Source organism: Homo sapiens, chromosome 6, assembly GCF_000001405.40.
Source record: "Homo sapiens chromosome 6, GRCh38.p14 Primary Assembly".
NCBI lineage: Eukaryota > Metazoa > Chordata > Mammalia > Primates > Hominidae > Homo > Homo sapiens.
In genome coordinates, this window is record NC_000006.12 from 8,437,160 (window position 1) to 8,465,125 (window position 27,966).

General features: G+C 37.9%; 1 long non-coding RNA gene across 2 annotated transcripts in view, besides 3 other annotated features; it reads left to right on the plus strand.

The window, feature by feature from the left end:
- LOC100506207 (uncharacterized) overlaps positions 1 to 27,966 on the plus strand; it is a 349,823-nt gene that overhangs the window by 1,537 nt on the left and 320,320 nt on the right. Inside the window, exon 2 of one of the 2 annotated variants that reach the window (NR_038980.1) lies at positions 781 to 872. This is a non-coding gene — a long non-coding RNA (uncharacterized LOC100506207). The remainder of the gene's footprint in view (positions 1 to 780; positions 873 to 27,966) is intronic. The other variant, NR_038979.1, reaches the window with a different exon arrangement.
- Positions 18,603 to 18,772: an enhancer, noted in NCBI's record as "experimental_96121 CRE fragment used in MPRA reporter constructs". NCBI's record gives its function as "activates a minimal promoter by MPRAs in K562 erythroleukemia cells, with activity observed for the introgressed 6:8456080 variant allele {active_cell/tissue: K562}" and the evidence as "EXISTENCE:reporter gene assay evidence [ECO:0000049][PMID:34662402]".
- Positions 18,913 to 19,082: an enhancer, noted in NCBI's record as "experimental_96126 CRE fragment used in MPRA reporter constructs". NCBI's record gives its function as "activates a minimal promoter by MPRAs in K562 erythroleukemia cells, with activity observed for the non-introgressed 6:8456390 variant allele {active_cell/tissue: K562}" and the evidence as "EXISTENCE:reporter gene assay evidence [ECO:0000049][PMID:34662402]".
- Positions 20,091 to 20,260: an enhancer, noted in NCBI's record as "experimental_96137 CRE fragment used in MPRA reporter constructs". NCBI's record gives its function as "activates a minimal promoter by MPRAs in K562 erythroleukemia cells, with activity observed for the non-introgressed 6:8457568 variant allele {active_cell/tissue: K562}" and the evidence as "EXISTENCE:reporter gene assay evidence [ECO:0000049][PMID:34662402]".

Here is a 27,966-nt window from a genome sequence, read left to right on the forward strand (position 1 = left end):
TCAGTGCTTTGTAGCTGTTGTTCCTTCTGCATGGAACACTGCCCTCTCAGATGTCCACAGAGCTTGCTTCCTCATTTTTTTCCAGTCACTGCTCAAATGTCACCTGGCTCTTCTCTGACTACCATGTCAGTGAAATATTTTTACATGTCAAATGTGAAATGTAGGAGAGACTATCTGGAGTAGTACTTATTATAGAGTAGGTGTTTAATAAATATCGACTCTCTTACAATACTTCCCATTTACTCCTGTGATAACCACGTGGTAAACAAAATTAAAGACTTGCAGCTATGAATTGTTTTTTATTGACTGATTGACTGATTGAGGCAGAGGCTCACTCTGTCGCTCAGGCTGGAGTGCAGTGGCACATCTCAGCTCACTGCAACCTCTGCCTCCTGGGTTCAAGCCATTCTCCTGTCTCAGCCTCCCGAGTAGCTGGGATTATAGGCGCCTGTCACCATGCCCGGCTAATTTTTGTATTTTTAGTAGAGATGGGGTTTCACCTTATTGACCAGGCTGGTCTCGAACTCCTGACCCCAAGTGATCCACCCACCTCAGCCTCCCAAAGTGCTAGGATTATAAGCGTGAGCCACTGCGCCTGGTCCTATGAATTGGTTTTAAATTTTTAAGAAATTAATAATTCTGTAGTATCAGAAACCTTTGGTGTCTTGATTCACATCTTCTGAGCATCACCTCTCATTTCTGACTTGGTTGTGGGGGGCAGTTTCATGCAATCTTACACATTCTTCTCCCTGACAGCTTCTCCTCTCCCACATTTACCAGGCCTCTTTGCTTTCTTCCCTGAGGTTCTTCGGACTTCACACATTCCAGCAGTAGCTCTCTCAGCTCCTGTCCTGCACAGCTTTGAAGTGCTGGTAAGTCAACACATCTGGGGCCCTTCAACCAAGGGGTGACAGTCACTGATGGATAAATGCTCTTGCTTCTTACACTTGAGCAAGATAGTTTTGTAGGCCATTCTGTGTGTTTTTCAAAAAGTCCCAGTGAAATTGGGTTCTGGTTTCTCACAACAGCAACTTCAATAACACATTCTTGTATTATGTCTATATTCTCCCTTCCATTCTCTCATTGTTTCTCACTAGGATCACATCCCAAATTACCTGTCCCCACATAAGTAGTTGTCTCAGGTTTTGAGGGAAACCAAGCTAAGAAATTTGATGTAAGAAGAAAGTCTAGAATGCAGCTCCTCAGAACTCTGGAAGTGGGTTACTTTGCAGTCAGATGACAACAAGGACTTTCTTAGTGATATTAAGGGGAGGACATGTGCATGGCCCAACAATTAAGGCTCTTTCTTACTAAAGCCGATATGACTACTGCCTCTTTGGATGTCCAGCCCATCAGCAGCAAAGATTGATGGTAAATTCCATAAGGAGAGCAATTACACAAAAGTCCTTCCTTCCTGGAGAGAGCCGTGGTTTGTACTTACGGAACTGACACTTCCCTTGATATGACTGGTCTTGTTCATGGTGCCTCTGCCAGTACCATTATATAACAGAGTTACAAACACATGATTGATTGACTTCCTTCCTTCCTTCCTTCCTTCCTTTCTTTCTTTCTTTTTTCTTTCTTTCTTTCTTTCTTTCTTTCTTTCTTTCTTTCTTTCTTTCTTTCCTTCTTTTTTTCTTTCTTTTTCTTTCTTCCTTCCTTCCTTTTTCTTTTTCTTTCTTTCTCTTTCTCTTCCTTCCTTCCTTTTTCTTTTTCTTTCTTTCTCTTCCTTCCTTTTTCTTTCTTTCTTTCTCTCTTTCCTTTCTCTCTCTCTTTTCCTTCTTTCTTTTCTTTTTTCTTCCTTCCTTTCTTTTTTCTTTCTTTCCCTTCCTTCCCTCCATCTCCTCCCTCCCTCCCTCCCTTCCTTCCTTCCTCTTTCTTTCTCTCTTTCCCTCCCTCCCTCCCTCCCTTCCTTCCTTCCTTTCTTCCTTCTTTGACACAGAGTCTCACTCTGTTGCCCAGGCTGGAATGCAGTGGCACAACCTCTGCCTCCCAGGTTCAAGCCATTCTCCTGCCTCAGCCTCCCCAGTAGCTGGGATTACAGGTGCCTGCCACTACACCTGGCTAATTTTTTTGTATTTTTGGTAGAGACACGGTTTCACCATGTTGGCCAGGCTGGTTGTGAACTCCTGACCTCAAGTGATCTGCCCACCTCAGCCTCCTAAAGTGGTGCAATTACAAGCGTGAGCCACCACACCCAGCCCAAACACATGATTTTCTGATGTATTGCCTCCAACTAAAGGACACACTTTATGGTAAAAGAGGTGTGACAATGACACACGACCATGGAATTCCACTGGTCCTACCATATATTGTATCAACTGGAGGAAATTGGCCTGATAGAACACTGACATTGTTTTGTGAACATCAGCAAGTATCCTTTTCAGGAACAGTGCTCAGATAGGGTTGAGATGCCGTCACTCCTGACACACACACACACACACACACACACACACACACACACACACACCTGGCCCTTGGGAAGTTTGGTGGCATTAACACCCCCAGGCAATGATCCACCAATGGGGAATGGGCACCTATGGATAAATGCCTTCCATTTCCTAGGAGCAATTTTTGGGAGGTGTTTTTATGTATTTTAGGATGTCCTAGATAATCAAGTCATGTGACTTGGGGGAGCGAGAAAGAGAAACCAGCAGTGGAGACTTAGAAGAAGCAGCTGTTGACATAGGATGGGTCCAGGAATGTACAGTCTTCTAAAAGCCAGGTGAAGACAATGTTTAAAGGAGGAAGGAGTGATCAACAATGTCAGTTCGTGTCAATTGGTGTTACTTAGTCATGTGTCTGTGAAGAATCATCTTGCATAGTTAAGTCTCAGGTTCTAGTGTCAGATTAAATTTAAATCCTTGCACCACCCCTTGCTCTTTGAGTGTCTTTGTGCAAATTGCTTAAATTCTCTAAGTCTCAATCTCCCCATCTGTGAAATGGGAATGACAGTAGTACCTATGTGGTAAATTGTAGTGATGAGTAAGTGAAAGATGTTTAAAGATGGTTAAATGGTTAGCACAACACCTATTACCTGACAAACACTTAGTAAAAGTTAGCTATTAATATTCTTATTAATATAGCCTACTATCATTAGAATAATCCATTTATATATAGTCATCAGTTGTCACTTTTCTAGCTCTTCCATAAGGAATAGGTTATATAGCATTTCCAAACTAGGAAGTTCATTGATAGATATATGGTTCCAGATGCACTGAGCAGAAAAACTAGTTAATTTGATTTTCATTAAATATCCATTTAATAAATACTTATTGAGCACTTACTCTGCATGCTACTGGGTATTGTGGATATGTGGATGACAAGACAGACATGGATCCCTGCCCTCACAAAGCTCACAGCCTTGTGTGGTGGAGATAATTAATTACACAAGTAATTATAGTGTGATTTGTGTTGATAAGGGTATTAACTACAGGATGCAATGGGAGCTATAGGCTATGCTAATGAGGCTGTGGTTATAGATTCAGTTCCCCTGTAGGTTGCTTGACTTCCAGGGCTATCAGTTTTTCTCTGCTGTCTCCTAAATGGATAGAGGTTCACAGAACTGGGCCACCTGGACACCAGCCATGACTCCTCTTCTTTCCCAGTACTGATAATTGGCATGGGGCAAAATTCTTCATAAAGAGGTAGCATGTGTAATGAGATGGAGAAATATTTTGCTCGTTTAACACCTGGCTTTTGAATCCCTTTTTGGTCAAAGTTTCTGTGTTTTGTTTTCTTTTTGTAAGAAGTAATTCGATTAGCCTCTTAGAAGATTATTCTTAAACTGCCTTCCATGGAGGGTTAGTCTTATTAACATGAAGTTCTTTTTATTTCCAGAACAGTGCTGTCCAATAGGAATATAATATAAGCCATGGAAGCTACTTTAAATTTTCTGCTAGTTACATTAAAAAGGTGAAATGAGGCCGGGTGTGGTGGCTCATGCCTCTAATCCCAGCACTTTGGGAGGCCAAGGCAGGCGAATCACTTGAGGTCAGGAGTTCAAGACCAGCCTGGCCAACATGGTGAAACCCCATCTCTACTAAAAATAAAAAAAAATTAACAGGGCGTGGTGGCGGGCACCTGTAATCCCAGCTGCTCAGGAGGCTGAGGCAGGAGAATGGCTTGAACCAGCGAGGCAGAGGTTCCAGTGAGCTGAGATCATGCCACTGCAGTCCAGCCTGGGCAACAGAGTGAGTCTCTGTCTCAAAAAAAAAAAAAAAAAAGGTGATATTAATTTTAATAATATATTTATTTAACTCAATATAACCAAAATATTATCATTTCAACATGCAATCAATATAAAAAGTTGTTAATGAAATACTTTAACATCTGTTTTTTTATACAAAATCTTGGAAATCCAGTGTGTATTTCACACTTCCAGCATATTTTGGTTTGGACCAGCCACATTTCAAGTGCTCAGAGTAGCACATATGACTACTATCTACCACTCAGGACAATGGAATTTTAGAGCACTTTAATTCTTGTTCACCACTTGGAAGGTGATGAAGTTTAAAGTGCTAGAGAAAATCCAGGCTGGGCGCAGTGGCTCACATTGCCTGTAATCCCAGTACTTTGGAAGGTCAAGGCAGGCAGATCTCTTGATTCCAGGAGTTCAAGACCAGTCTGGGTAACATGGCAAAACCCTGCCTCTAGAAAACAAACAAACAAACAAAACAAAAATAAAATCAGCTGAGTGTGGTGATGCATGCCCATAGTCCCAGCTACTCAGGAGGCTGAGGTGGGAGGATCCCTTGAGCTTGGGAGGCGGAGGTTGCAGTGATCCCAGATCACACCACTGCACTCCAGCCTGGGTGACAGAGTGAGACCTGTCTCAAAAAAAAAAAAAAGAAAAAAGAAGGAAAGAAAGAAAGAACAAACAAATGAAGGAGGGAGAGAATAAAGGGAATCACCAGTGTGGTATGGCTGAGAAGGGAGCTTTTGGGAGACTATAGGTTCTGTATCTAACTGGAGTATTTAAGTTGTTTTATGGAGGCTGTGATTTATAATTCCACCACTTCATATTCTTAAAAAGCTTCAGTAAATCTGCATTGTTCATTAATGCCCTGCATAGGTGCATTATTTCAGATGAATTTAAAGAAGGCTAAATTCTGTGGCCAGGTGGGTGTGGAGTAAAAATAAAGATGGCTCCCAGGGATGTAGGAGCAAGTGGGTGGGAACTGCTAAAGCTTGTTTTTACGTAAGATAAGCATTTAACTTCCTCCACTCCTCTACTGTGAAGTCTTGAAGGGTTTATGTCACTAATTGTTCAACCTAAATAAACATTTATTAGGCCTGTTCTCTACAGCTGCAATTAGAACTTTTGAGAACCAGCTGCATTTTGCAACTTTGTTCTTTCTTGACTTCTGTACTGCTGCACTGACTGGTTCTCCTACCTCACTGTTCCTTGTCCTGTCCTCAAAATGTTCATGTTTCAGTCTCTGTTTTCCTGATCTTTTGTATAAACTCCTCTTCAGGAAATCAATTTAATTTAAGATTACGGACTTGTCCTCTATATCTGTGTAATTAACTGCTCACCTATGCTTTATTCTCATTTTTCAAACTGCTTGTTAGCGACATTGGATGCAGTGATATAACCCTGTAGTCATCCTAAGTGTGAACTCAGTTTCTTTCACAAATCAGTATTTTCCCTCCTCCTTTCTTTTCCTTTCAATAAAACTCTAATTATTTGTTATCACTATTTCTTTTTCTCCGTCCTTTCTAGAGGTTGAGTATCTCTTATGTGAAATGTATGGGACCAGAAGTGTTTCACAGATTTTAGATTTTTTAAAAATTTTGGAATATTTGCATATACATAATAAGATATCTTGAGGCTGGGGCCCAAGTCTAAACACAAAATTCATTTATGCCTTATAAATACCTTATACACATAGCCTGAAGGTAATTTTAAACAATATTTTTAATAGCTTTGTACATGAAACGAAGTTTGTGTTAAGTACTTATGTGTGGAATTTCCCACTTGTGATATTATGTCAGTGCTCAAAAGTTTTGGATTTTGGAGCATTTCAGATTTCAGATTTTCAGATTAGGGATGTTTAATTGTATTAGTTTACTTTGGTCCGTCTTGTGTATATAAGTAACTGTATTAGCTTTCTATTGCTGCTATAACAAATTACCACAAGCTTAGTGGCTTGAAGACCACACAGTTTTTTTATTTTACAGTTCTATAGGACAGAATTTCAAAGTGGGTTTTGGGTGGGTACAGTGGCTCATGCCTATAATCGTAGAGCTTTGGGAGGCTGAGGTGGGAGGATAGCTTGAGGACAATAGTTTGAGATCAGCCTGAGTAGCATAGAGAGTAGAGTAGAGTAACATCTCTACTAAATACATACATACATACATTACATACAAACATAATGAGCCTCACTGGGATGTAATCAAATGGTCAACAGTGCTGCATTCCTTTTGAAGCGGCTATGTTGTCTGGGGTATATACCTGGGGTTCGTAGTCTTGCACCAGGAAAACTTAGGACACAGACACACATGAAGAGTTTAGGGGTGGAGGCTTAATAGGCAGAAGAAAAGAGAAAGAAAAACAGCTCTCTCTATAGAGAGGGGTCTTCTGAGCAGAAAAGACCAGCTGGCAGTGAATGTGCCAGATTTTATAGTCCCGTTTGAGGAGGTGGTGTCTGATTTAGTGGGGCTTACAGATTGGTTCAATCAGGTATGATGTTTACATAGCACAAGGGGAAGACTGGTTGCCCCACCGTAATCTTATGCAAATGAACTCTCCCCTTGGCCAGTGCCATCTTGTCTGCTCCTTACTGTACACGTAAGGTAGAGAAGGGTAGATGGAGCCGCCATCTTGAACATGGTACTAGTCCCTAGTTCCTGCCGTCATTCACCCAGGGACGCTCCCAGCTTGCTTATCTATTCTGTGTCTATGGCTTGACTTTACAGGCTGCTCTTTGCTAGGAAATGATTTGGGGCTGCTTTTCATTAAAAAGAAAAGCCTTACTGAGGATTCCCATACCTTTACTATCTGCCTAAGTGATATCTTCTTAACTCCTATATCACTTTCTAGGGGCTCTAGGGGAGAGTTCATATTCTTTCTTTCTCCATCTTCTAGAGGTTATCCCTATTCCTTGGCTTGTTGTCCCCTTCCATTTTCAAAGCCAGCAAAGCCATTTGAGTCTTTCTCACATGGCTTCAGTGTGTACTGACTCTTCCGCCTCCTCTTATACATTTTAAAGATCCTTGTGATTACACTGGGCTCACTCAGATAATCCAGGATAATCTCCTTTTTTTTTTTTTTTTATTATACTTTAAGTTCTAGGGTACATGTGCACAACGTGCAGGTTTGTTACATAGGTATACATGTGCCCTGTTGGTTTGCCGCACCCATTAACTCGTCATTTACATTAGGTATTTCTCCTAATGCTCCCCCTCCCCAATCCCCCACCCCAGGACAGGCCCCAGTGTGTGATGTTCCTAGCCCTATGTCCAAGTGTTCTCATTGTTCAGTTCCCACCTATGAGTGAGAACATGTGGTGTTTGGTTTTCTGTCCTTGTGATGGTTTGTTCAGAATGATGGTTTCCAGCTTCATCCATGTTGCTACAAAGGACATGAACTCATCCTTTTTTATGGCTGCATAGTATTCCATGGTATATATGTGCCACGTTTTCTTAATCCAGTCTATCATTGATGGACATTTGGGTTGGTTTCAAGTATTTGCTATTGTGAATAGTGCTGCAATAAACATATGTGTGCATGTGTCTTTATAGTAGCATAATTTATAATCCTTTGGGTATATACCCAGTAATGGGATTGCTGGGTTAAATGGTATTTCTAGTTCTAGATCCCTGAGGAATCGCCACACTGACTTCCACAATGGTTGAACTAGTTTACATTTCTTTTACATTTGCTGAGGAGTGCTTTACTTCCAACTATGTGGTCAATTTTGGAATAAGTGCAATGTGTTGCTGAGAAGAATTTATATTCTGTTGATTTGGGGTGGAGAGTTCTGTAGATGTCTATTAGGTCTGCTTGGTGCAGAGCTGAGTTCAATTCCTGGATATCCTTGTTAACTTTCTGTCTCGTTGATCTGCCTAATGTTGACAGTGGGGTGTTAAAATCTCCCATTATTATAGTGTGGTAATCTAAGTCTCTTTTTAGGTCTCTCAGGACTTGCTTTATGAATCTGGGTGCTCCTGTATTGGGTGCATATATATTTAGGATAGTTAGCTCTTGTTGAATTGATCCCTTTACCATTATGTAATGCCCTTCTTTGTCTCTTTTGATCTTTGTTGGTTTAAAGTCTGTTTTATCAGAGACTAGGATTGCAACTCCTGCTTTTTTTTGCTTTCCATTCACTTGGTAGATTTTCCTCCATCCCTTTATTTTGAGCCTATGTGTGTCTCTGCATGTGATATGGGTCTCCTGAATACAGCACACTGATGGGTCTTGACTTTTTAATCCAATATGCCAGTCTATGTCTTTTAATTGGGGCATTTAGCCCATTTACATTTAAGGTTAATATTGTTATGTGTGAATTTGATCCTGTCATTATGATGTTAGCTGGTTATTTTGCCCATTAGTTGATGCAGTTTCTTCCTAGCATCGATGGGCTTTACAATCTGGCATGTTTTTGCAGTGGCTGGTACCAATTATTCCTTTCCATGTTTAGTGCTTCCTTCAGGAGCTCTTGTAAGGCAGGCCTGGTGGTGACAAAATCTCTCAGCATTTGCTTGTCTGTAAAGGATTTTATTTCTTCTTTACTTATGAAGCTTAGTTTGGCTAGATATGAAATTCTGGGTTGAAAATTCTTTTCTTCAAGAATGTTGAATATTGGACCCCACTCTCTTCTGGCTTGTAGGGTTTCTGCCGAGAGATCAGCTGTTAGTCTGATGGGCTTCCCTTTGTGTGTAACCCAACCTTTCTCTCTGGCTGCTGTTAGTGATAATCTCCTTTTTTTTAAGGTCAGTTTGTTCCGGGACCAAACCCAGGGCTGGGCTGCTTATTCCTGTGGGCCAGTAATGGGATGCAGATGAACTGGGAAAGACGGGAGTTTATTCCTGCAACCAGGTACAGGGAGAAGGCCTGTAAAAATATCACCAAACTCAAAATTATAAAGTTTTCCAGAGCTTATATACCTTCTAAGCTATATGTATACGTGTAAGTGTACATTCATCTAAAGTGATAAGTGATTAACTTCTTCTAATCTGTAACTAAGATCTGAGTTCAGAAGACCTTCCTCTGGAGCCTCAGTACACTTACCTAATCTAAATGGGTCCAGGTGCTGGGATGATTCCCTTATCTTCTCCCCTGCCAAATCATGGAGGTGTGGGGAGTTCCTTCAGACCCAATAAACTTGTTTGCAGAGGCCTGGGGAATTTCTTCAGACCCCCAGTAAAAGTTGTTTAATCTTAAACGGGTCATGTTAAGAATTCCCTCATTATCTCGTCATGCTTTAAGGCCCAGGAGAGGCCTAGGCAAAATTCTTGATGGGCTTTTGTTACATTCCAGCCTTTGTATAAGGGCACTGGCTGTCTCAGCTTTTAATATTTAACTTCATCACTCAGTCAGTGCTGAAACAGTTGTTGTGGAGCCCTGCCTGTTCAGCCTTTATGAAGACCTGGCCTGCAGAAGTTGATTGAAGCCCATCCATACATTTTGAGGCCCCGTTCCATTGGAGATCTCTGAGTTATCTCCCTTAAAGGGTGAGGAAGCTTGGAGATTTATCCTCCACCTCCTCCCGTTGAATGAGGACTTTTTGTAAGTCTGTTAACTCCCCAACAGTTTATTTCTACCCTTCCCCATGCCAGTAAGCAAATCTAGGAGAAAGCACCCAGGCAGAGGGTAAGTAGGATACCAAGAGCCCTCCTGTGGTTGAAGAACTCTCTGTTGATTGATTCATCACAGTGAGTGAGAGTGCATGCTGTGGAGGAACTGTGGAGCATCTCAGTAAGCAAGTATTAGAAAGGATTTACAGGATTTGGTCTCATGTCAGGTAACAAGGAAGAGGTTCTAGGAGGTGGAGATTTGCTCTGGGATTTTCTGTTGCCAGAAAACATAGATCATCCTATGTCTGGATATCTTTAGAATTCTTTTTTTTTTTTTTTTTTTTGAGATGGAGTCTCGCTCTGTCGCCCAGGCTGGAGTGCAGAGGCACGATCTCGGCTCACTACAACCTCTGCTTCCCAGGTTCAAGTGATTTTCCTGCCTCAGCCTCCTGAGTAGCTGGGATTACAGGCACGTGCCACCATGCTCGGCTAATTTTTGCATTTTAATAGAGATGGGGGTTGCACCATGTTGGTCAGGCTGGTCTCGAACTCCTGACATCATGATCTGCCCACCTCATCCTCCCAAAGTGCTGGGATTACAGGCTTGAGCCACTGCTCCCGGCCCAGAATTCTTAGCTTGAAGGAGAGAAGAACAAGAGCAAGCTACAGCTATAATTGGTAAAGAAGTAATTCTCACTTATATTAGCCCAGATAGAGAGACGTTTGTTCATTTTGGGAGTTTAGACAATGTTCTTGTTTTTGTCTGAGTTCAGACATGATCACCAAGTGGTCTTGTGTTCATTTTGATCCGTCATTGTCATGGAATAGACTTGTCCACTATTGGTGTTCTGTGAAACTGGTTATGATCAACAGAAGGACACTGTGTCTTATTGGATAGTACCAGTCAATCTCCCAGCTATCAGGAGCTGCTTTTCTTTTTCTCACTACTATGGTCATGTACTGGCATGGTGAGTGCCAAGACAAGTGAGACTCCTACAGCATCCACTACTTTTCACTTTCTTCCATTCTATAGATTGCTGCTGGGTAGGTATTGATATTTTTACAATATTTCTTTTACCATAGTTTTACCATGTGTATTAGTTTCCTTTAGTGCAAAACAAGTTACTGCAAACTTAGCAGCTTAAAACAACACCTATTTATGAGCTCATAGTTTTGTAGATGAGAAGTCTGGGTATGGGTTGACTGGATTCTCTGCTCTGGGTCCCATAAAACCAGAATCAAGGTGTTGATTAGGACTGTCGTCTTATCTAGAGCTGAAAGTCTTTCTTCAAGCTCATTCAGGTTGTTAGCCAAATCCAATTCTTTGCACTTATTGGACTGAAGTCCCTGTTTCCTTGCTGGCTGTCAGCTGACGGGCCTCTCTCCGCTTCTGGAGGCTGCCTGTGATTCTTAGCCAACTGGTTCACTCCATGTACAAAGTCAGGTGTGTCAAAACCTTCTTGTGTTTCAAAACCCTGATTTTCTCTGTCTCTGACTGCTAGACCCAAATCTAAAGGGCTCATGAGATTAAGTTATGTCTAAAAGGATAATCTCTCTTTTGATTAAGTCAGATCAACTGATTAGTAACCTTAATGATGTTGGAAAAATCCCTTTTGCCATATGATATCACATTTTAAACTCAGATTATTTCAAGAGTCATTCACGTTTTTGCATTCATCAATAAAGCATTTATTGTTATTGCTGAAGTAAAATTCCATTTCATGAAATATTATTTATCATTTCACTGTTAATGAAAATTTAGGCCATTTCCAGGTTTTGGCTGTTACTTGTCAGGATGCTGTTGAGCATTCATGTTACAAGTGTTTGTGTGGACCTATGTTGCCATTTCTCTTGGGTAAATATTAATACCTAGAAGTGGACTAGTTTTGTCACATAGCTGTGTATTTAACTTTTTAAGAAACTGCTGGCCAGGCACGGTGACTCACGCCTGTAATCCCACCACTTTGGGAGGCCGAGGTGGGTGGATCACCTGAGGTCAGGAGTTCGAGACCAGCCTGGCCAACGTGGTGAAAACCCGTCTGTACTAAAAATACCAAAATTAGCCGGGCATGGTGGCAGGTGCCTGTAATCCCAGCTACTAGGGAGGCTGAGGCAGGAGAATCGCTTGAACCCAGGTAGCAGAGGTTGCAGTGAGCCGAGATCATGCCATTGCACTCCAACCTGCCGGACAAGAGCGAGACTTCGTCTCAAAAAAAAAAAAAGAAAAGAAAAAGAAACTGCTAAACTGTTTTCCAAAATGCTTATACCATTTTACATTCCCAACAGCAGTAGATGAGAATTCTGTTCACTTCCCATCCTAGCCAGAAGACTGGTCCAGTCTTTTTCATTTTAGCCATTTTAAAAGGCTTAGTAGTATCACACTGTGGTTTTAATTTGCAATTCTATAATGTCTAATAATATTAAATACTTCTCATATGCTTATTGACTTATTGAGCGTCTTTTCATATGCTTTATTGAGTTCTGTAGATCTTCTTTGGTGAGGCATTTATTCACATTTTTTGCCCATTAAAAAAAATTTTTTTTAACCTTTAAAATTTTTTCAACTGTTTTATTTCTTTTTAAAAATTTTCTATAGTTAGGATGTAAAACCTAATGTTTTCATATACATTTACATAGTGAAATGATTACTACAGTCATGCAAATTAACATATTTGTAACCTCCCATAGTAAGCTTTTCTTATTATCACATTTTGAGAATTCTTTATATATTCTAGATCCAAGCCATTTTATGAGAAATGCAGCTTGCAAATATTTTACCCCATGCTGATGCTTGTTTTATCATTCTTTTCATGATTTCTTTTGAAGAGAAGTTCTTAATTTTGTTGTGTATAATATTAATTAATTTATTTTTGATGGATTGTGCTTTTTGTGTCATAGCTATTAGGTTGGGGCAAAAGTAATTGTGGTTTTGGCCATTAGTTTCCATGGGAAAAACTGCAATTACTTTTGCAGAAACCTAATAATGTATCTTTGCCTCAGTGTCACAAAGATATTTCCTATTTTACTTTAGAGGTTTTCAGTTTTAGGTTCTACATCTAGGTCTGTGATCCATTTTGAGTTAATTTTCACATATATTTTGAGGTCTTTAGTTCATCTTTGTTTTTGAAAGTTGTTTTCACTGGATTTTAACTTCTAGGATGATGGATGTTTTTCTTTCAATACTTTTGTGATGTTGCTGCACTCTCCTTGCTTGCATTGTTTCCAATGAGAAATCTGCTTCTCGGGACACACTAAAGATGAAAATTACTCTTTTGGAGTTTTGTTGTTGTTCATCTATATTCTGGACACAGATTGTGACCATTTACCAACTGGAAGTACATTATTTTAAAACAAGTGAAATGTAAATTCCTGTCTAAAAGTGATTGATATTTCCAGAGGAATTCAATAGATATGGTCTTCCAGATATATAAATAACTTTCAATTTTTGTTATAGTGGTTGATCCAGGACAATGTATCATAAATTCTAGAAGCTTCATGTTGGTGTCCTAGGAGACAATATTGCAGCAGAGGTTAGATAGCCACTCTGCATCTTTGGAATAAAACAATTGCTACTTAGCAGAACCCAGGGTTAGACAAATCAGTCTTGTACCTATTTGAAAGGAAGAAGTATTAAAAGAAAATAAATCTTTATCAACAAATTTCATCTCAAATGCTATTATGGAAATGCAAGTTTCAATTCATTTATATAATTGAATAAAGTAAAATTTATAGTTGTTTTCAAAGCTTTCATTTGGCTATAACATATGTTAAATTTTTTATTTTAGATCTTTTAAAAATTGACTTAGTAATCAATAAATTAAAATATTTTATTATAATATTAGTCTGATATGTGGAAATCATACTAATTTTTGGTGAGTTGTAATTGCAGTTAAAGGCAGTTTGCTACATTTAATACTAGAAAGTATGCAAAAATCTAAAATCAACATGTGAAATGCATTCTATTGTTTTTGCAAAGAAATTAATAGCATAACATATACCTACATTAAATATACATAACATATAAATAAATATATGAAATAATATTTATATAATCGATATAAAAACTGCTTTCAAAATATATTGTATTTTTGCATTTTAAAGAAACAAAGAGTCAAAGAACTTGTAAAGAATTTGTTCAATTTCTGTTTATAGCTAATACTGGACTAATTCATGACAGAAAGATAGGTGGAAATAATTATTTCTGTGTCCTCTGTACGCCAGAAGAAAAGTTTCTATAGTTGAATAAATACAATTAAATGAAGTCCAAAGAGGTATATGTTGCAGCTATTTCTTTTAATCTTTTAAGATATTTGAATGTAATATTTAAAGACATAATTACTTCTTTAAGCTTTAAGGCTAAAGTTCTTAAACAGAAAGACAATAATCAATGACCAGAAAAGCAATCCAAAAAACCATAATGATAAATGCGTAACTCTAGATGAATATTAGTTCACTTTTTCATGAGTCACTTATGTTACTAATGACTTAGCAATCCTAGTTTACTTTATTGTATTATTATGCGTGCTAAGATTCTTGTTATTTCTGTACAGAGAAAGAGGAAAATACAAGAATTTTCTTTGTATTTTCTGAGAATGAGGTTTGATGTGATGAAGGTTTTTCATGGCTTTTTGAATTAGTTTTTTAAAAAAACTTTTGTCTTATAAGAAATTTGTACTCAGCTTATGTTTATTATGAATTGTTTCTTCTTTGAGTCATGTTTATTACATCTTTGAATTGCCAATATGATTATCCCGTATCATAAAAATATACTGTCTTTCTTTTGGAGTTGTTACTGAGTTATTGTTCATTTCAAAGGTATAATCAAGTTCTTAAATTGCTAATATGACTATTGAGTTTAAACAGTCTTGTCTCTTTTCTCAATAATCCTTTTACCAACTCCTTTCCCCACCTCTGAAGTTCTTTGAATCAATTTTCATCACAACAAAATAATTTGTGACCATGGTTCAGTTGCCTTTAGTTTGCTTTCATCACAATAGTCTTTCATAAAATAAGCTCTTTTGTGTGTATGTATATATATATATATGTGTGTGTGTATGCACATACACACACACACACACACGTATACTGTTTTTCTATTTGTACTCTGTGTGATTATTTTGATGTGATTTAGGTCTTAACAGTAATCTAACTTCTTTTAGAAATAGAATGGCCAGCTTTCATTCGTTTGGACATTTAGGATTATATAACTCATATGGAAAAGAAATATTACTTTAGATGTCTTCTTATAACAATAGCCTATTGGATTCATCAGGGAGGAATAAAAGGCGGTCAGGAGCAGCATAGCTTGAGGAAAAATAATAGCATTTTTGTTTCTTCCATCTTAGCGTGTCATGATGTAGAAAGAAGATGGTGTTATTTTTTACCCTTTAAAAAAACTTGTGTGGTCTTAAGTTGATAAAAATAATGGAATAATAACAGTGTATTTTCCAGGCTTGTGACATAATAGGAGAAGTTTTAGATACACGTGTGGCAGCATAAATAGCTAAGGGACTGGGGAATGAGCCTGGCTGGCACCACTTAAACGTTAGACACAAGCTCTATTTCTAAGAGCATGCTGCTGAATATAACCTCTGTGAAGAATACCTGATTCTGGGAGGATAGATGCTTCACTTTAACAAAAATTTTCATGTTATCTTAAAGGCCATTCTTTTTTTTTTTTCTTTTTTTTGAGACTGATCTCACTCTGTCGCCCAGGCTGGCATGCAGTGGCACGATGTCGACTCACTGCAACCTCCACCTCCTGGGCTTAAGGGATTCTCCTGCCTCAGCCTCCTGAGTGGCTGAGACTACAGGCATGTGCCACCATGCCTGGCTAATTTTTGTATTTTTAGTAGAGATGAGGTTTCACCATGTTGGCCAGGCTGCTCTCAAACTCTTGACCTCAAATGATCCACCCTCCTCAGCCTCCCAAAGTGCTGGGATTACAGGTGGGAGCCACCACACCCTGTTAAAGGAGCTTGATGGAGCTTTGAGAATACCAAGACTTGGGCACAAGCTGCATCTTCTTATTTTAGATTGGGTAGCACTGTCCACTGATCTTTAACTATTATTATTGCTATTATCTCTGACCCTGAATACTGTGCCATTCTTTCTTTAAAGCCGATTTGAAGCTTTAAATTACTACAGTATTTTCAGTTGTGTGGAAGAGTAAGAGTTATCCACTGTAGTGCCAAACTTAGTCTTTTGCCACCTGATGGGAATTGACATTTGGTGTGCTCTAGTACTTACTTCTTACCTGTCACGCATAGCATCAGAGGTTTTAATTGCTTTATTTGCATACAGTTAATGAGGGTAGTATAGTTGGATAATCTAAGTAACCAAGTTAGTTATGTATTGAATTAGCCAATTAAGCCAGGTAATCCCTCTGAAATGTTTTTTGTTAATAAGAAAGAAGATGATAATGAAACGATTCATCTTTGGTTCCAATCCAAGTATAGTATCCTGCTGGGATAATGGCTTTGGGGCAGCGCAGTCTAACAGCTGGTTAGTTAATAAGCTTTCAGCAGCAAAGTGATTGTAAATAAACAGAATTGGACTCTAGCTTTGAAATAATACTTATCACTAGCTATTGATCTCTGTTAAGTTCTGTGTGAAACTATATGTACACACACATATGCATATCACAGTATGGATGTGTATGAGTGTTAAGTGCTTTAGGTATAAAGTTTGAGTTGTTGAAAAGGTCTTCATTCTGTGTAGTGGGTAATTGTTAGCAAGACACTACTTAAAACACTGCTTAAATTAAGTCTCACTCACATGCGTGTGTGCTGTAGCTAATAGTATCAGTGATCTTTGATCAGTTTGTTAGGGAACAGTGTAGCAAAATGAATACTACCTGGAAATCCAGAGATCTAAATTGGAATGAAGGCTCTGCCACTGTCAAGCTTTATTACTGTGAGAGGTAGCATCTTCCTAAAGATCCCTCCCCATTCCCCTTTGCCAAGTAGATTAACAGTTCCCTTTCTTGGGCCACGACAAAATTTTTGTACTCACGTCTGTTTGCTTCTATTAGAGAAGTAATTTTGGTGTTTTGCAGTGTTGGTACATTTTTCTCTCTCCCTCCTTTACTGGGATAGGAACTCTTTGAAGGCAGTGACCATGTTTTCTGTTTGTTTTCACTGTCTTGCCATATAGAGGGCAGTCAGTGAATATATGCTAAATGAACAGATTTGTATATGAGAGCTAGAATAGAGTATCTTTAACGACTTGATGATTTCTGCTTATAACTTGATATTTAGTAGGGGCAGTTATTTGATACAATTGGTCTGTCATATATTTAGTTGAAAGAATTACTTCTAAACCTGTCATTGGATTATGCTAGGTTACAAATTCCTAACATGACTGTGCTTGCAATGCACATCTGTGTGTTATTCCCTTAGTTTTTGACTTACTGAAAAATGATTCAGTCACATTCTGAATCTCAACAATGGAAGAAAGTGTATTTGTTCATGGCTTTATGAAACAAACGCTACAATTTGAAGGTAATTTTCTTATACCTTTAAAAATATATTTCTGATTATCAATCTTATCAAACCATTGATCATGTTAGTTACTGACATTGCTAAAATGAGCAATGATATCATCATTTTAAATTGTTTGAAACTTCCAACCAAGATGTACATGCACAATCCAATATGTGATGAAATATTTAAAGGCATGAACATTAAAAAATAATTATATTTAATATAGAACTGTAATTTTGAAACTTGAACACGAGGATTACTTTACATCCTCCATGTCTGTGTATATATAAGGATGAATCTTGGTCTGGATGTGAACCTTGGAAGACAGCAATTTGGGGACTGAATTCAATACTTGGATTATTTCATTTTCCCATGTGCTTAATTAATAGGCCATGCATCATACTACTGGTGAGAGAAAATGCACCAGACATGTTTTATTCTGGCATTTGTGTGATTCTTTGTTTAATTACTGTATATTTTTATTTATTGTCTTATTTAAGTTTTAATGTTACTTGTGATTATGAAATATATCCACACAATTAAGAATTCAAAAGTTGCAAAAGCTTCTGTAAAGTTGATTACACACCCTTGGCCTTATTCATTCACCAACTTCCCCTCTTCTCAGGCAACTAATTTTGTTACCAGTATCTTAATATATTTCCAGCAATATTATATCCATAGTAATTGCATCCACACAGAAACATATATTTTCTTTTAAAAAACTTAAAATAGTAACATAATACATGATTTTCTGCATCTGCCTTTTTAAATCTAATGATGTATAATAGAGATTTCTTAGATTTTATAGTTGAAAAAACTAGATTCAGCCAAAACAGGGGCTTAGGCTGTATAAAATATACAACTTTTTGGTGGTCTATTCATATATATTTGTATTTGTAGCTGTTATTCTTACATTTATATTTTATTCACATACATTTATATCTGTATATTTTTTGGTCTATTTAATCATCATGCATTTAGTCATGACATATTCAGTATAATCAACTTTTCCTTTCAAATTGATTGTGGGGAAGGGAAGCAAAGGCCAAGTGTTTGTAGGCATGGTATAAGTTTAAACTTTAGGCTTCCAAACCCAAATTTCTATTAAGAACAGAATGACTATGTTATTCTAGAATCCAGAAACTATAATGTAATGAAGAATCATTGAAAGAAATGAGCATGCAATTATTGTCCTCAAGTAATTTAATGTCTATTAGATAAAAAGGAATTAGACTTATGTGCCTTTGGAAGGCATAGCTAGAACTAAACTGAGGTATAGAATATATAATTTCTTGTTCCCCTGACTTTAAGCATAGTAATTTTCCAAAATGGAATGGGTTGTCTTGTGAAGTACAGAGCAGACATGAGAATAGTCACTTTTCTGAGACATTATTGTACAAGGGATCCCTGTATCATAGAAATGAACTAGATAACCATTTAGGGTTCTCAACCCTCAGACGCCCTACTCCAGACCAGTGCTCCTTATCAGGCCTTGCCAAATCTCTTGGGGCTATTAATGGCTAAAACTTCTCCTTTGTCACGCAATTCCCTATAGGAGGAGCAATACAGAGTGAGCACCCATGTCAATAGCTACTTACACCTGTAGGCTGAGGTGAATGGTTACATACCAACAAATAAGTAGAACAGAAATAAAGTGGATAAAATATTTCAGACCCAAACAACGCTATTTCATGCAGAAGGAAATAGTCCAAGCAGAAACAGTTTTCCCCATTAAGAGCACATAGCTGTGTATGTCAATCTTAATGCATGTATAGTGAGTAGTAGGACAAGAAAGCCTTTGTTGGGGATGACTAGTTTCTTTTCAGCTTTTATTTTAGATACAGGGGGTACATGTGCAGTTTTGTTACCTGGGTATATTGTACCCAGGTAGTGAGCATAGTACCCAAGAGGTAGTTTTTCAATCCACATCCCCTCCCCCACTCTAGTAATCTGCAGTTTGCATTGTTCCCATGTTTATGATGTGCTCAATATTTAGCTCCCACGTACAAGTGACAACACATGGTATTTGGTTTTCTGTTCCAGCATTAATTGGCTTAGGATTATGGCCTCCAGCTCCATCTATGTTGCTGCAAAGGATATGATTTTGTTCTTTCTTATGTCTACATGAAATTCCATGATGTATATCATATGTATATCATATACCACATTTTCTTTATCTAACCCACCATTGATGGGCGCCTGGGTTGATTCCATGTCTTTGCTATTGTGGAGAGTGTGACTATGAACATACAAGTGCATATGTCTTTTTGGTATAATGATCTAATTTTCCTTGGGTTTATGCTCAGTAATGGGATTGCTGGGTCGGATGGTAGCTCTATTTTAAGTTGTTTGAGAAATCTCCAAGCTGCTTCCCACAATGGTTTAACTAATCTACATCCCCACTAACAGTGTGTAAGCATTCCCTTTTCTCCACAGCCATGCCAGCATGTGTTGTTTTTTAACTTTTTAATAATAACAATTCTGACTGGTGTGAGTAGGTATCTCATTGTGGTTTTAGTTTGTACTTGTCTGATGATTGGTGATGATGAGCATTTTTTCATCTGTTTGTGGTTGCTTATATGTTTCTTTTGAGAAGTGTCTGTTGCGTCCTTTGCCCATTTTTTTAAATGGGGCTATTTGGTTTTTGCTTGTTGATTTGTTTAAGTTCCTTATAGATTCTTATTATTAGACCTTTGTTGGATATGTAGTTTGTGAATGTTTTCTCCCATTCTGTAGGTTGTCTCTTTACTCTGTTGATAGTTTCTTTTGGCTGTACAGAAGCTCTTTAGTTCAATTAAGTCCCACTTATCAATTTTTTTTTTTTTGCAATCGCTTTTGGGGACTTAGTCAAAAGTTCTTTGCTAAGTCCTGTGCCGAGAAGGGTATTTCCTAGGTTTCCTTCTAGGGTTTTAATAGTTTGAGGTCTTATATTTAAATCTTTAATAAAATTTGAGTTAATTTTTGTATACAGTGAAATGTATGGGTCCAGTTTCATTCTTCTGCATATTTCTAGCCAGTTATTCCAGCACCATTTATTAAATACAGATTCCTTTCCGTATTGCTTGTTTCAGTTGGCCTTGTTGAAGATCAGATGGTTATAGGTGTGCAGCTTTATTTCTGAGTTCCCTATTCTGTTCCATTGGTCTGTGGGTCTGTTTTTGTACAAGTACCATGCCGTTTGGTTACTGTAGCTTTATAGTATAGTTTGAAGTCAGGTAGTGTGATGCCTTTGGCTTTGTTCTTTTTGCTTAGGATTGCTTTGGCTATTCAGCCTCCTTTTTGTTTCCATTTTGGAATAGTTTTTTCTAATTCTATGAAGAATGACGTTGGTAGTTTAATGGAAATAGCATTGAATCTGTAAATTGCTTTGGGCAGTATGGCTATTTTAACAATATTGATTCTTCCAGTCTATGAGCATGCAATGTTTTTACATTTATCTGTGTTGTCTCTGATTTCTATCAGCAATATTTTGTAGTTCTCCTTGTAGAGATCTTTCACTTCCTTGGTTAGCTGTATTCCTAGGTATTTCATTTTCTTAGTGGCCATTGTTAAGTGGGATTGTGTTCTTGATTTGACTCTTTGCCTGGACATTATTGGTGTATAGAAATGCTACTGATTTTTCTACATTGATTTTGTATCCTGAAACTTTATTAAAGTTGTTTGTCAGTTCTAGGACTCTTTTGATGGAGTATTCAGAGTTTTCCAAGTATAGAATCATGTTGTCAGTGAACAGAGATAGTTTGACGACTTCTTTTCCTACTTGGATGCCTTTTATTTCTTTATCTTGCTTGATTGCTCTGACTAGGACTTCCAGTACTATGTTGAATGGGAGTAGAGAGAGTGGGCATATTTGTCTCGTTCCAGTTCTCAAGGGGAATGATTCCAGCTTTTTCCCATTCAGTATGATGCTGGCTGTGGGTTTGTCATAGTTGGCTCTTATTATTTTGAGGTATGTTCCTTCAATGCCTAGTCTGTGGAGGGTTTTTATAATGAAGGGATGTTGAGTTTTATCAAAAGCTTTTAATATATCTATTGAGATGATCATAGGGTTTCTGCTTTTCTGTTTATGTGGTGAATCACATTTATTGATTTGTGTATGTTGAACCAACCTTGCAAACCAGAAATAAAGCCTACTTGATCCTGGTGAAGTCACATTTTTTTTTTTTGGAAACAGGGTCTTGCTCTGTCGCCCATCCTGGAGTGCAGTGGTGCAATCTTGGCTCACCTCAACCTCTGCCTCCTGGGCTCAAGCAATCCTCCCACCTCAGCCTCCCGAGTAGCTGGGTTAACAGGCACACACCACCACCCCCAGCTAATTTTTTGTATTTTTAGTAGAGACAGGGTTTCATCATGTTGGCCAAGCTTGTCTTGAACACCTGACCTCAAGTGATCTGCCCACCTTGGCCTCCCAAAGTACTGGGATTACAGGTGTGAGCCACCACGCCTGGTTGTGAATTAGCTTTTTGATGTGCTGCTAGATTCAGTTTGCTAGTATTTTGTTGAGGTTTTTCGCATCTATGTTTGTCAGGGATATTGGCTTCAAGTTTTTTTTTTTTTTTCACTGACAGATGAAAAGACAGATTGAAATTTGATGAAATTTCAGATGAAATTTTAGATTTTCAGATGAAAATTGACAGATTTTGGCATGAGGATGATACTGGCTTCATAGAACGAGTTAGGGAGGAGCCTCTCCTATTTGATTTTTTGGAATAGTTTTAGTAGGATTGGTACCAGTTATGTGTATGTCTTGTAGAATTTGGCTGTGAATCCATCTGTTCTAGGGCTTTTGTTGGCTGTTAGGTTTTTATTACTGATTCAGTTTTGGAGTTTGTTATTGTTCTGTTCATGTTTTCACTTTCTCCCTTGTTCAATCTTTGAAGGTTGTATGTTTTCAAGAATTTATCCATTTCCCCTAGATTTCTAATTTGTGTGAGTAGAGATGTTCATAATAGTCTCTGAAGGTCTTTTGTATTTCTGTGGGATCAGTCTTGTCATTTCTGATTGCACTTATTTGGATGTTCTCTGTTTTTTTCTTAGTTTATCTAGCTAACAGTCTTTAAATTTTGTTTATTCTTTTGAATTACAAACTTAGTTTCATTGATCTTTTGTATGGACTTTTGCATCTCAATTTTGTGTAGTTCTTTTCTGATTCTGATTTTAGTTATTTCTTTTTATCTACTAGTATTGGAATTGGTTTTTCCTTTTTTTTTTCCAGTTCCTTTAGATGTGATTTTAGATCATTAATTTGAGATCTTTCTAACTTCTTCTTCTTCTTCTTTTTTTTTTTGAGAGACAGTCTCCCTCTCTTGCCCTGGCTGGAGTGGAGTGGCATGCTCTTGGCTCACTGCAACCTCTGCCTCTCGGATTCAAGTGATTTGCCTTCCTCAGCCTGCCAAGTAGCTGCAATTACAGGCACCTGCCGCCATGCGCAGGTAATTTTTGTATTTCTAGTAGAGATGGGGTTTCACTATGTTGGCCAGGCTGGTCTTGATCTCCTGACCTCAAGTGATCAACCTGCCTCGGCCTCCCAAAGTGCTGGGATTACAGGCCTGAGCCACCATGCCCAGCCTCTTTCTACTTCTTGATGAAGGTGTTTAGCACTAAATTTTCCTCTGAACACTGCTTTAGCTGTACCCCAAAGATAATGGTAAGTTCTGTCTTGGTTTTCATTAATTTTAAATAATGTTTTTTATTTCTGCCTTGATTTCATTGTTCATCCAAGAGTTATTCAGGAGAAGTTTGTTTAACTTTCATGTTTTTGTGTAGTTTTGAGAGATCTTCTTGGTATTGATTTCTATTTTTATTGCACTAATCCGAGAGTGTGCTTGGTACGATTTCAATTTTTTTGGAAGTCAAGACTTGCTTTATGACCAAGCATGTGGTCAATCTTAGAATATGTTCTGTGTGCAGATGAGAAGAATATATATTCTGTGGTTTGGGGGTGGAGTATTCTGTAGATGTCTATTAGGTCCAGTTGTTCAAGTGTCAGGTTTATGACCAGAATTTCTTTGTTAGTTTTCTGCCTCAATGATCTGTCCAGTGCTGTCAAATAGTGTTAAAATCCCCTATTATTATTCTGTGACTGGTCAAGTCTTTTTGTAGGTCAAGAAGATCTTTTTTTTTTATGAATCTTCGTGCTCCAGTGTTTGGTGGATATGTATTTAGGATAGTTAAGTCTTCTTTTTGAATGGAACCCTTTATCATTTTGTAATGCCCTTCTTTGTGCTTCTTGATTGTTATTGATTTAAAGTCTGTTTTATATGACATAAACATAGTGATTCCTGCTCTTTTTTGTTTTCTGTTTGCATGGTAGATCTTTCTCCCTTTACTTTGGGCCTTGTGTTTTTATCTACTTTGCCACCCTGTGCCTTTGAAGTGGGACATTTAAACCATTTACATTCAGGATTAATATTGATATGTAAGGTTATGATTATGTCATCATATTGTTATCTGGTTGTTTTGTAGACTTGGTTGTATAATTGCTTTGTATTTTCTGTGGGCTATGTACTTGAGTGTGTTTTTGTGCTGGCAGGTATCAATCTTTCATTTCTATGTTTAGCACTCCCTTAAGGATCTCTCGTAAGGTTGGTCTGGTGGCAATGAATTCCCTTAATGTTTGCTTTTCTGAGAAGAATTTTATTTCTCCTTTGCTTATGAAGCTTAGTTTGGAGGGATATGAAATTCTTTTGGCTGGAATTTCTTTTCTTTGAGGATGTTTCCTTTCTGGCTTATAAGGCTTCTGCTGAGATGCCTGCTGATGGTTTCCTGAGATTCTTTTTTTGTTTGTTTGTTTTGAGACAGAGTCTTGCTTTGTCACCCATGCTGGGGTATAGTGACATGATCTTGTCTCACTGCAAACTTTGCCTCCTGGGTCCAAGCAATTCTCCTGCCTCAGCCTCCCAAGCAGCTGGGATTACAGGCATGTGCCACCATACCCATCTAATTTTTGTATTTTTAGTAGAGACGGGGTTTTGTCACGTTGCCCAGGCTGGTCTCAAACCCCTGAGCTCAGGCAATCCACCCGCCTCAGCCTCCCAAAGTGCTGGGATTACAGGCGTAAGCCACTGTGCCCGGCCGAGATTCTCTTTATAAGTGACCTGACCTTTCTCTCTAGATGCCTTTAAGGTTTTCCCTTTTGCATTGACCTTGGTGAATCTTATGACTATGTATCTTGGAGATGGTCATCTTGTACAGTAGCTCACAGGGGTTCTCTGTATTTCTTGAATTTGCGTGTCCACCCCTCTAGTGAGACTGAGGAAGTTTTCATGGACTATATCCTTAAATATGTTTGTCAAGTTGTTTACTCCCTCTTCTCTCTCAGAAATGTCAATGAGTCATAGATTTGGTCTCTTTATATAATCTCATATTTATTGGAGGTTTTGTTCATTTTTTGAAATTCCTTTTTCTGTATTTTTGTCTGACTGGGTTGACTTGAAGAGCTTGCTTTTGAGCTCTGAGATTCTTTTGTCAGCTTGGTCTATTCTGTCATTAATGTTTCTGACTATATTATGAAATTTTTATAGTGAATTCTTTAATTCCAGAAGTTCAGTTTGGTTCTTTCTTAAAAATGACTATTTTACCTCTCAGGTCTTGAATCATTTTACTGGATTCCTTGGATTGTTTTTCAACTTTCTCCTGGGTCTCGATTAGCTTCCTTGCCATCCAGATTCTGAATTCTATCTCTGTCATTACAATAATTTTAGTCTGGTTAAGAACTATTGCCTGGGGACTAGTGCATTTGTTTGGAGGTAAGGGGACACTCTGGCTTTTTCAGTTGCCGGAAAAAGCCAGAGTGTCTTGCATTTGTTCTTTCTCATCTGAGAGAGCTGGTGTTCCTTTAACTGTGATGTAAGATAAATATAGTCAGTTGGCTTCATTTCTAGGTACTTTCAGAGTGCAAGGCTCTATATAGGATCTTTATTTGTGGCTGGATTTTTGCCTAGGGTTTCAGAGACACTGTGTACTGGCAAAATATTTTTGGCATTGTAATTTGGACTGTGATCCAGTAGATGGCACTTAATAGTGAAGGCTGGCAGATAGGTTCTTTCTCAGTCATGTGGCTCTTTTGTATTTTAGCACGTTCTCGGTAGTGCTGTATGATGGCGGGGGAGAGAGATGACATCTTTACAGGTTTGCTCCAGAGCCTTGGAGGAGCCTCCTCTGATAACTGGTGCCACACTCACGTTTCTTTCCCTCAGGGAGAGGCCATGGTTGGCAGACAGGCCATACCTTTTCCTGGATGGCCCTGCAGAAGGAGGCATATCTTGTTCCCCCATCGGCCCATGAATTCACGTGTCTCACTCCTCTCAGTGTTCTGGGAGTGGGGGCTCCTCCCCTGCTTGGGTGCCACCCATACCAATAAGTCTTGTCTGGCTAGGAGCAGCAGGGGTGGATGAAATAGCATGGACTGTTGTCCAGGTGTTTCCCAGAAGAACACAGAACTGTGTCACCTGGCAGAGTTCAGGTAGGAGTGGGGCTGCTGTGCTGACACCTAAGCCAGAAAGTTCTGCCTGACTAGCAGTAGTGGGGGTTGGTAGAGTTGTGCAGTCTGCTGTCCAAATGTTTACCCTACTTCCTTGATTTACTCTTTGTTTTATGAAATCATGAATTCTCATCTTTATGACTTTGAAGAGTGGCAACACATGCCATCCAGCAAGCCTTTGGAGGGCAGAATTGATGACTAGGAACATCTGGAAACGTTGTGACCCTATCACAGTGTCTTGGTCAATTAAATTATTTTTTGAATTCATAATAAATCACAAGCCCAATCAAGGCCAATTTCTTCAGTGTCATATATGAATATTTATAATATTCATTATTATTGATAGAAGTACCCCTACTAGTAGTGTTTCCCCTTTTGTGCCTTTCTTTGTTTTGTTTCAGTAGCTTAGATTGTATCTTTTTTTTCTGTTTTTTTTTTTCTCCAAATTCTACAATCCTTCAAAGTTTGGATCAACTATTTTACACCTAATTATTGCCTCTTTCTCTGCCTGATTCAAATACCTTAGTACTTGTTTCTTACAATTTGTACTTAAATATCACTGCAATGATTTATATATGTAATAAAATATATATATTGCATATATATATATAATATGGAACCTGTGTAGTGATTTGCACAAAATGTGAGCAGAAAGTACAGAGTTCCCATATACTGATCCATTATTATTAACTAAAGTTTATGTTAGAGTCCACTCTTTTACATTATAAGTTTGGACAAATGTGTAGTGACATGTATTCATCAGTACACTATTGTACAAGTAGTTTTGTTGCCCTAAAAATTTCTTGTGCCCCACCTATTTATCCCTCCTTCCCCTGAACCCTTGGCAACAACTGATCTTTTTACTGTCTCCATAGTTTTGCCTTGTTCAGAAGGTCATATAGTTGGAATCATACAGTATATATCCTTTTTAGATAGGCTTTTTTTTTTTTTGCTTAGCAATATGCATTTAAAATTCCTACATGTCTTTTGCTGGCTTGATTGTTCATTCCTTTTTATTGTTGAATAAAATTCCATGGCATGGCATGGCACGGCATGGATGTGCCACTGTTTGTGTATTCACCTATTAAAGGATATTTCTGTTATTTCTTAAAGAATAATCTTTTTTTTTTTTATTGCAGGGTTTAAAAATTGCTTTAGTGCAGGGGTAGAAACTAAAACTTATGTAGTTTATTATTTCTAGAAACCAGAGAAATCAGAAAATATGCCTTATAGTTAAGCATTCAGTTAAAATTTCTTTAGCTCTTCTGAGGTCAATGCCTATATTACATCAATATATGACAATATTTACATTTTAAAAATAAATACATTATTATAATAATTAGAAATAGAAGCGTTAAAATTTTTTTTTGTTTTCTGCATAAACAAGATTTCCCAAAGCATGACAGTATAGAGAGAAGTCTTCTTTTTTCCTTAAATGTTTCTTGAATGTTTATCTCTTTGTTATGTTCCCCAAGTTGTTAGAACTTTTAAAATATGCTATGGTTTGAATGTTTTGTCCCACCCAGGATTTCTGTGTTGAAACTGAATCCCCAATATGACAGTATTAAAAGATGAGAGTCTTTGGGAAGTGATTAATTCACAAAGGTGTAGCCTTTATGAATGGATTAATGCCGTTGTAAAAGAGGCTTCAGAGAGCTACCTGACTGCCTTTCCCTTCCATCTTCCCCCATGTGAGAATGCAGTAGCAAAGTGTCATCAATGAGGAATGGTGCCTCACCAGAAACTGATTTTGCGACTGCCTTGATCTTGGACTTCTCAGCCTCTAGAACTATGATAAAATAAAATTCTATTATTATAAATTACCCAGTCTTTAGCATTCTGTTATAAAACCACAAATGAACTGAGATAAATGTATATTTTGTTAAGGCTTGTATTACAGAATCCTAGAATGCAAAAAAAAAAAAAAAAAAAAAAGGGAGGGTCTGAGGGCCATCTGGTCCATTTGGTATCCAATATCTGAATTTCTTCTCTGACATGATATGCAGGTGGTCTTATAATATATGTTTGGACATTTCCAATGATAGGAAAATTACTGTCTTGTAAGTCAACTGGCTTCAGTTTTTTAGATAACTCTAATTGTTAGAAAGGTCTTTCTTTTATTCAACTAAACTGTTTTCCCATAATTTCTAACCATTCATTCTAATTCTACTCCATGAATAATAAAGGATAAATTTAATCTTTTCCCCAATGATAGCCCTTTAAATATTCAAAAGATAGCTAGAATGTCACTTTCCA